This window comes from Homo sapiens, chromosome 7, assembly GCF_000001405.40.
Source record: "Homo sapiens chromosome 7, GRCh38.p14 Primary Assembly".
Taxonomy (NCBI): Eukaryota; Metazoa; Chordata; class Mammalia; order Primates; family Hominidae; genus Homo; species Homo sapiens.
Genome location: NC_000007.14, coordinates 124472902 through 124481777, shown reverse-complemented (window position 1 = coordinate 124481777; position 8876 = coordinate 124472902). Strand labels below are relative to the sequence as shown.

At 41.0% G+C, this 8876-nt stretch overlaps 1 protein-coding gene and 1 pseudogene across 1 annotated transcript; both read right to left on the bottom strand.

Annotated features, from left to right (window-relative positions):
* Positions 346 to 1276, bottom strand: RPS2P31 (ribosomal protein S2 pseudogene 31; annotated as a pseudogene).
* Positions 4114 to 5461, bottom strand: SSU72L6 (SSU72 like 6). Its single transcript, NM_001414004.1, has one exon. It carries the CDS (start codon positions 5405 to 5407, stop codon positions 4823 to 4825), a length of 585 nt encoding a protein of 194 aa, NP_001400933.1. The 5' UTR covers positions 5408 to 5461; the 3' UTR covers positions 4114 to 4822.
* Between the last annotated feature and the right edge of the window lie 3415 nt (positions 5462 to 8876).

Below are 8876 nucleotides of genomic sequence, written 5' to 3'. Positions count from 1 at the left end.
AACAGTGAGGTGAGATTTCAACTTTCCAGCAGTTAGATGTACTTGTTTAATAACCTTGCACACCATGGCACTGTTTTTCAATGTGCTTCCATTAGGAGTAAAATACAGGCTTTTATTATTTTTTTTTTAATCTGCTTTTGTTATTTATAAAACCTTGGAGACTTATCACTTCTCTAACTAGCATAAGGTAGTCATTTTCCTAAGTGAGGCACAATCAAGGTCAGCCTCTCTTTTGTAAAACTAAGGCTATGATAGTTTGGGAAATAAGAATCAAGCTGTAACTAAAAGGTTGGTTGGTTGTTTTCCCCTTTATTCATTTTCCTGACCTATTTATTTATTTATTTTCAGGCCTAATTCACTTTACTTTTCTTGTATAAAACCCCCATGTTGTAGCCACAGCTGGAGCCTGGGTCCTCTGCACGTAGACTCTGGTGTGGGTCTTGACGAGGTGGTCAGTGAATTCCTGATAGGGAGACTTGGTGAATACAGTCTCCTTCCAGAGGTCGGGCGTCAGGTAGCTGTAGGTCTTAGAGATGGCATCAAAGGTGGTGGCTTTGGCAAGGTTGCCCAGGGTGGCAGTGCAGCCCCTGGCTGAGGTGTAGCAGTCATCGATACCAGCCATCATGACCAGCTTCTTGAGCACAGGCGCAGAGACGATGCCAGTGCCCCTGGACACGGGGATGAGGCGCACTAGCACGGAGCCGTCTGTCACCTTGCAAGGGACACTGTGGGGCTTGCCGATCTTGTTCCCCCAGTAGCCTCTGCGCACGGGGACAATGGAGAGTTTGGCCAGAATGATGGCCCCGAGAATGGCAGTGACCACCTCCTTGGAGCACTTAACACCCAGATCGACGTGGCTACTGTAGTCCCCGATGGCAACAAACGCCTTGAACCTGGTGCGCTGGCCGGCGCGGGTCAGCTTCTGCACCGGCATAATCTTCAAAACCTCGTGCTTGAGAGAGGCCCCAGGAAAAAGTCAATGATCTCAGATTCCTTGATGGGCAGGGAGAAGAGATAGATCTCCTTCAGGGATTTGATCTTCATGTCCTTGACCAGGCGGCCCATCTTGGTGACGGGCATCCACTCCTTATCTTCGGCCTTGCCTCCGCTAGCTCCGCGGCCTCGGCCGGGTCCACGGCCGCGACCCTGGGCCCCGGATGCTACTGACGAAACCTCCCCGGAAGTCACCGCTGTTCCCCATCCCAGGGCCTCCGGAATCCCGGACCCCGCCCCTGCACCGGCGTCATCCGCCATTTGGTGTTTTCTCGGAGTAGAACTTCCCGGCCTATTTATACAAGTAGGTTCATAAAAACAATAGAGATACCCATCAGGAATTTGAATTAACCTAAGAAGACATCTACAGCTTTAAATACCAGGAATCCATTTGACTGATACAGAGGCTGGAGCTAATAAAGGATTGCTGGTTGCTAACAGATGTATTTCTAACAAAACAGGCAGATTGGGCTGTGTTGACATCTAAGGTTTAAGCTCTTATCTGTTACTCTCACTATGACTGGTTATTTTCACAAAGCACCCTTAAAAACCATTTGTCACTGAGAAGAGTCCATGATAAAGCTTCTAAGACGTTGCCTTCTGTTATTTAAAGAGGAGCCACTTAGCACTGGCTGTTGATTAGAAGACACTTAAGTGAAAAATATCCTTTCTTCAGAGGGAGTCTATGCTTTTAATCATCTCATCTAGTAAACAGTCTTGAAGCAGTTAAAAGATATTTTTACCTAGTCTACAATTGTTCCAATAATATAGTATGTATTGTTATACTACTTGCAATATGTTACTAGACCTCAATCATTAGTGGGCAAAAGTCTAGAGAGATGAAAAATAGTGAATACATATTAAAGGTGAAATTAATGACCATTTTAAAAATTCTATTACTTATTTTTGACAGAAGTAACTTTTTCAAAAGAAAATAACATTGATGAAACCTTTCAGATTTGACCTTTCAGTGGCAGTAAAATTGAGTTACATAAATTCTATTAATGGTAATGGCTGCTTCCCAGCAAAACCTCTCTGATATTGTGGAAACTGGTGTTACTCAGGATTTTCAGAATCACCCTCTGCAAAGAACTTTTGAAAATGGGTTAAATCAGTGAAGTCAGTTAACTGAGATGATCAATTATCAAGCTACAACAACAAAATAAGTTAAAAACAGTGATGATGCTTGGTCCTAGTATTTTATGCTCTTGAATGTAAAATAACTACCAAATAAGATAATTAGTTTCCAACATCGAAGGCATTTTTTTCAATAGGTATCCAACACAGTGCCTGACAAAGAATACTCCCTTCGCCAAGTTTTTGTAAACTAAATTGATTATACTTCTTTAATTTTTCTAATTAGTTGTTAGGGGAGCCATTAATTTTCCTTCTGATCTCATTCCGTTTTTTACCCTATAATTATTTTCTTGAATGTCTAATTTGGGAGAAGACAGCATCAGCTAAAAATAAAAAGGAATGCCTAATATTTAGTGAGAAAAGTTCACTATTTAATATTTGCCTAACTACCTAATATTTAGATACATGGTGAGGAAAGTTCACTACTATTCAGTGAGAAAAATTCAATTAAATAGAAATTTGACTTGGGGTGAGAAGATGTGCATGGAAAGGGGCTGGCAAGTAGAATCACAGCCAAAAGTGTTTTCCTGGATGGAAATTTCTGCCAGCTGGAAAGAGGTACAGTGATCAAAGGCTCTGTCTCTCTTTTTCTTTTTCTTTTCTTTCTTTCTTTTTTTTTTTTTTTTTTTTTGAGGCGGAGTCTTGCTCCGTCGCCCAGGCTGGAGTGCAGTGGTGTGATCTCGGCTCACTGCAAGCTCTGCCTCCCGGGTTCATGCCATTCTCCTGCCTCAGCCTCCTGAGTAGCTGGGACTACAGTCGCCCGCCACCACGTCCGGCTATTTTTTTTTTTTGTTTGTATTTTTAGTAGAGACGGGGTTTCACCGTGTTAGCCAGGATGGTCTCGATCTCCTAACCTCGTGATCCGCCCCTCTCGGCCTCCCAAAGTTCTGGGATTACAGGCGTGAGCCACCGCGCCTGGCCGAAGCTCTGTCTCTAGACACATTCTGCCCTTGGTAGGCTGTGATGTTGGGCATGTTATTTAAACTTTAAGTTTCAGATTCTCTGAGCTACCTAACTCAGAGAGATTTTGTGGAAATAAACTAAATAACATTTATGAGGTGTTTAATAAAAGGCCCAAAATGGAGTAGTAATATTTGTCTTTCTAGTTTCTAGGGAAAGTTCAGAAGTTAACTTTAGAAACCAAGTATTGAGCATCTGGAATGCAAAATTTAATCCAAGGCCATAAAAAATGCCATCTGGCCGGGCATGGTAGCTCACGCCTGTGAACTTTGGGAGGCCAAGGCAGGAGGATCAGGAGCATCACTTGCCGTCAGGAGTTTGAGACCAGGCTGGCCAACATAGCGAAACCCCGTCTCTACTAAAAATACAAAAAAATTAGACAGGTGTGGTGGCACACACCTGTAATCCCAGCTAATCGAGAGGCTGAGGCAGGAGAATCACTTGAACCCCAGTGGCAGAGGCTGCAGTGAGCCTAGATGATGTCACTGTGCTCCAGCCTGGGTGATAGAGTGAGACTCTGTCTCAGAAAAAAAAAAAAAAAAAGACAAAAAAAAAAGAAAAGAAAAACAAGAAATGCCATCCTTTGGTTCTGCTGTTCAACTCACTGGAATGGATCTGTCACTGGTCTGACCCAGTAGAGGGTACGTAGAGAGGCTTGAGTTGACAGGGACGAAGAGAGTGTTGGGCCATGGTGGGCATGGCCAGGTCTAGGAGACTTACTGAGAGGTTCTACTGGCTATGAAAATGACATAGATAATAAGTGGACAAAATACTTTGCCTAACTTTGGTTTTCTCCCTGTACCTAGCATGATGCATGTATACGTTCTTCTTGGGTAACGAATCTGTCAATTGACGTACCATCTCCTAACACACTGGTGTCAGGGTTTTAAGAGCTTCCCTCTACTATATCCAAGTTAGTTTTAATGATATTAAAATCTCTGCCATCCAGGGAGGGGAACTGGGGGAGAGGCAGATGTGTAGAACTGCTGTGGTGTTCTTTGCAGATCCTGGGAACAGGATTTCTTTCTTTTTTTTTTTTTTATTTAAATTTTTTATTTCATTTAATTTGATGACCTATTATTTGAGTAGATAATTCCAAATTTTACAATAATATGTAGTTCATTATCCAACTTGGATTTTACCTATTAAAGTGAGCATTAGTAAAAAAGATATAATCTATATGTGAAAACATTTATTGGTTCAAACATGTAATATTATACTCTTATTAAAGAAGAACAACATTTAAGTTAATATACCACACTCCATTGGTCTCAAATAACTTAAAAAATTTAAAAATTAAAAAAAAAACCACTCAAATTGAGAAAAGGAAGTCTATTTAAAAGGTGCTTATCTATACAATGTTATTTATCTGCTGAATACCCTTAAACAAATCATTTTTCCAGCAGTCCATTATCAGCTCCATTTGCTCATCCGGAAAATGCAGTCATGGTGGGATAGCTTCCTTGTAGAATAATATAAGCATTAAATTAGTTATTGTATGTAATGCATGTAGAACAATGCCAAGCATTTTTCAGTGCTTTTAAAACTGTTAGTCCTTCTCATTTCCCATAAAATATTTTCTTGGTAATAGTCTCTTTCCAGGTGATATGTACAAAAGTAATACAAACAGCACTCAGTGGAAGGTCTTTGTAGATACTTCTCACAATCAATCTGGACTAAAGTCCCATGCCTAAGTTCTTACCGAGGAAGGAGACAAAGCCAGCCCAGATCTTCAGTAGAAGCAGACGGTGTGAAGAAAGCTTTTTCCTGCCTTCTCCTCCATTTGCAACAGCAGCTCCTCCAGACTGTCTTCCATGTCGTCGGACTGCTGCAGGCACTGGCAAATCTCACAGATGAGGAAAGCTCCCAGGATGGCACCTTCCAGGGTATCTTTGATGTCCATGTTGATCACGTGCACAGGCTGAAAGGTCTGCTGTTCTCTGGAACACAGATCTTCCACCACTGTGTCATAGACACGCTCCTCACAGGTAAAGATGACATCAAAGAATTCAGTGCATTCCTGAAATCTTTCTGGGCCAGGCTTGATTCTCTCATTTCTTCCCAAGATGTGTAAGATTCCATTGTGGGTGTAGCATTCTCTATCTTTCCTGAGGAGGTCATTGTACATCTCCTTATATGTTGTTGCAAAATCGTAAACTACAGGATGATTGGGTCTTCGTCCTGGTAGCCTCACATGAGATTCAGTTCCGAAAGACCGGACACTTAGCCCTTTTCTCCTGAGGATGCTGTGGGCCTCCATGCTCCTGTTGATGTTGCTCACACACACCACAGCCACCCTGAGTGGGGAGGAGAGCATGATGGTGGCCACTGGGAACAAGAGAGACACAGGCACCTCAGCTGCTGCAGGGACTCTGAGCCAAGGAGACGACCACCTATACCCAGGTCTTCCAAATGAGCTAATGTGGAGGCACAGGAGGCAGGTTTATATTGAGTCACCTTAATTAGTGGGTGGAGACTTCCTGACTTCTGGATTGATTAGGTTGTGATAATGGATTCCTAACTCCTGACAAGAACAATCAAGATGATTAAATTACCTAAAGCAGTAACTGTCAACAAAGGTGGCACCACCCAGTCGGGATTCATTTAAAATCTGGAGTTTGCTCTGGTGGTTCTCCCAGTGAATGGGGGCTGCTATTGAGAATGGCCAAGACAATTAAGCTACCTGCAAGCATGTCATAGGACTCTCCAGTGACCTTCAGACATGAAAGCGGATGATAAACATGCTGACAATTTCCAAGGCTGTACCCTATTTAATTATAAATTACAAGTATTGTTGCTTGTTTTAATTTTCATAATGTTTGAGAAATGCAATTGCATAAATCACAGGAGCATTGTATATAGTTTTGTCCAGAAATTCACAAAATTTTTCACCAATACAAAAAAAATCCCATTCTGAACAACATATCTGCTTACGGTATTTTAAGAGTTATTCAACACAGCATTTTCTGCATTTGATATTACTGAAATCATAATGATTCTTCAGGGAATGCAGGAATTGATGCAATCCTCTGCCTCCAAGTACAGCTGTGTTTGAGCTTTTCTATACTTAAATGCAATGTTTAGAATTTTTTAGTAGTTGTGTAATTTATTAAGAAAATAAAAGAGATTTTAAAATTATGAATGGGGTTTCAAAAAATAAGATAATCATGTCACTTTATAATCAACCACTTTTGGATTGATTAGATTATGATAATGGACTGCTAGCTAATTACAAGAACAATCAAAATGATTAAATTCCTAATCCAGTAACTCTCCGCAAAGGTGGCCCCACCCAGTCAGGATTGATTTATAGGTGAGCTCTGTTGGCTGTCACTCACTGATTTACCAAATATTGGGTAAAGAATCTTTTTTTTTTTTTTTTTTTTGAGAGTCTTGCTCTGTCACCTAGGCTGGAGTACAGTGGCACAATATCGACTCACTGCAACTTCTACCTCCCAGGTTCAAGGGATTCTCCTGCCTCAGCCTCTCAAGTAGCTGAAGACTACAGGCATGCGGCACCACACCCAGTTAATGTTTGTATTTTTAGTAGAGATGGGGTTTCACCATGTTGGTCAGGCTGGTCTTGAACTTCTGACCTCAAGTGATCTGCCCGCCTCAGCCTCCCAAAGTGCTGAGATTACTGGTATGAGCCACCTCACCTGGCCCAATTTTACTTGTTTTTATTAATCTTTCTTAAATGTACATATAGCTCACATGTATTTCAATATAAATCAGATCAGGGACATCACTTTTGTCCTTGGTGCAGGGACAAAATCTATAAAGCAACATGTTGTATTTTTCTATGTCCCTCTTAAGGTGATGTTTTTTTAAATTTTATTAATATTATACTTTAAGTTTTAGGGTACATGTGCACAACGTGCAGGTTTCTTACATGTGTATACATGTGCCATGTTATTGTGCTGCACCAATTAACTCGTCATTTAACATTAGGTATCTCTCCTAATGCTATCCCTCCCCCCTCCCCCGACCCCGCAACAGTCCCTGGTGTGTGATGTTCCCCTTCCTGTGTCCATGTGTTCTCATTGTTCAATTCCCACCTATGAGTGAGAACATGCAGTGTTTGGTATTTTGTCCTCGCAATAGTTTGCTGAGAATGATGGTTTCCAGCTTCATCCATGTCCCTACAAAGGACATGAACTAATCATTTTTTATGGCTGCATAATATTCCATGGTGTATATATGCCACATTTTCTTAATCCAGTCTATCATTGTTGGACATTTGGGTTGGTTCCAAGTCTTTGCTATTGTGAATAGTGCCACAATAAACATACGCGTGCATGTGTCTTTATAGCAGCATGATTTATAATCCTTTGGGTATATACCCAGTAATGGAATGGCTGGGTCAAATGGTATTTCTAGTTCTAGATCCCTGAGGAATCGCCACACTGACTTCCACAATGGTTGAACTAGTTTACAGTCCCACCAACAGTGTAAAAGTGTTCCTATTTCTCCACATCCTCTCCAGCACCTGTTGTTTCCTGACTTTTTAATGATCGCCATTCTAACTGGTGTGAGATGGTATCTCATTGTGCTTTTGATTTGCATTTCTCTGATGGCCAGTGATGATGAGCATTTTTTCATGTGTCTTTTGGCTGCATAAATGTCTTCTTTTGAGAAGTGTCTGTTCATATCCTTTGCCTACTTTTTGATGGAGTTGTTTGTTTTTTCTTGTAAATTTGTTTGAGTTCATTGTAGATTCTGGATATTAGCCCTTTGTCAGACGAGTAGGTTGCAAAAATTTTCTCCCATTCTGTAAGTTGCCTGTTCACTCTGATGGTAGTTTCTTTTGCTGTGCAGAAGCTCTTTAGTTTAATTACATCCCATTTGTCAATTTTGGCTTTCATTGCCATTGCTTTTGGTGTTTTAGACATGAAGTCCTTGCCCATGCCTATGTCCTGAATGGTATTGCCTAGGTTTTCTTCTAGGGTTTTCATGGTTTTAGGTCTAACATTTAAGTCCTTAATCCATCTTGAATTAATTTTTGTATAAGGTGTAAGGAAGGGATCCAGTTTCAGCTTTCTACCTATGGCTAGCCTGTTTTCCCAGCACCGTTTATTAAATAGGGAATCCTTTCCCCATTTCTTGTTTTTGTCAGGTTTGTCAAAGATCAGATAGTTGTAGATATGTGGCATTATTTCTGAGGGCTCTGTTCTGTTCCATTGGTATATATATATATATATATATTTCTTTTTTTTTTTTTGAGACAGTCTCACTCTGTCACCCAGGCTGGAGTGCAGTGTCGCGATCTCAGCTCACTGTAACCTCCGCCTCCCAGATTCAAGTGATTTTTGTGCCTCGGCCTCCTGAGTAGCTGGGATTACAGGCATGCACCACCATGTCCAGCTAATGTTTGTATTTTTAGTAGAGACGCGGTTTCACCATGTTGGCCAGGCTGCTCTTGAACTCCTGACCTCAGTCGATCCACCCACCTTGGCCTCCCAAAGTGCTGGGATTACAGGCATGAGCCACTATGCCTGGCCCAGGATTTCATTTTTAAGGTAGTATGCATATACTATGTTTCTAAAAAAAACAGTGGATAGAATTAGTTAAGAGAATAATTTTACAGAGGTAAAATGGGGCTTTGACATGTTAAGAGCTTCACTTAAGCCATTCCATAAGTGTCTGTCAACATTTACCAAGAACTTTCATGTATAAGACTTTGAACTACAGTGGAAAGAAGGTATAGATCAAGGGATATAGAATTCAGAATGTGTTCCAAGGAATGTCAAATGTAAATATAATGATAGAAAAAAGTTTCTAGTCAT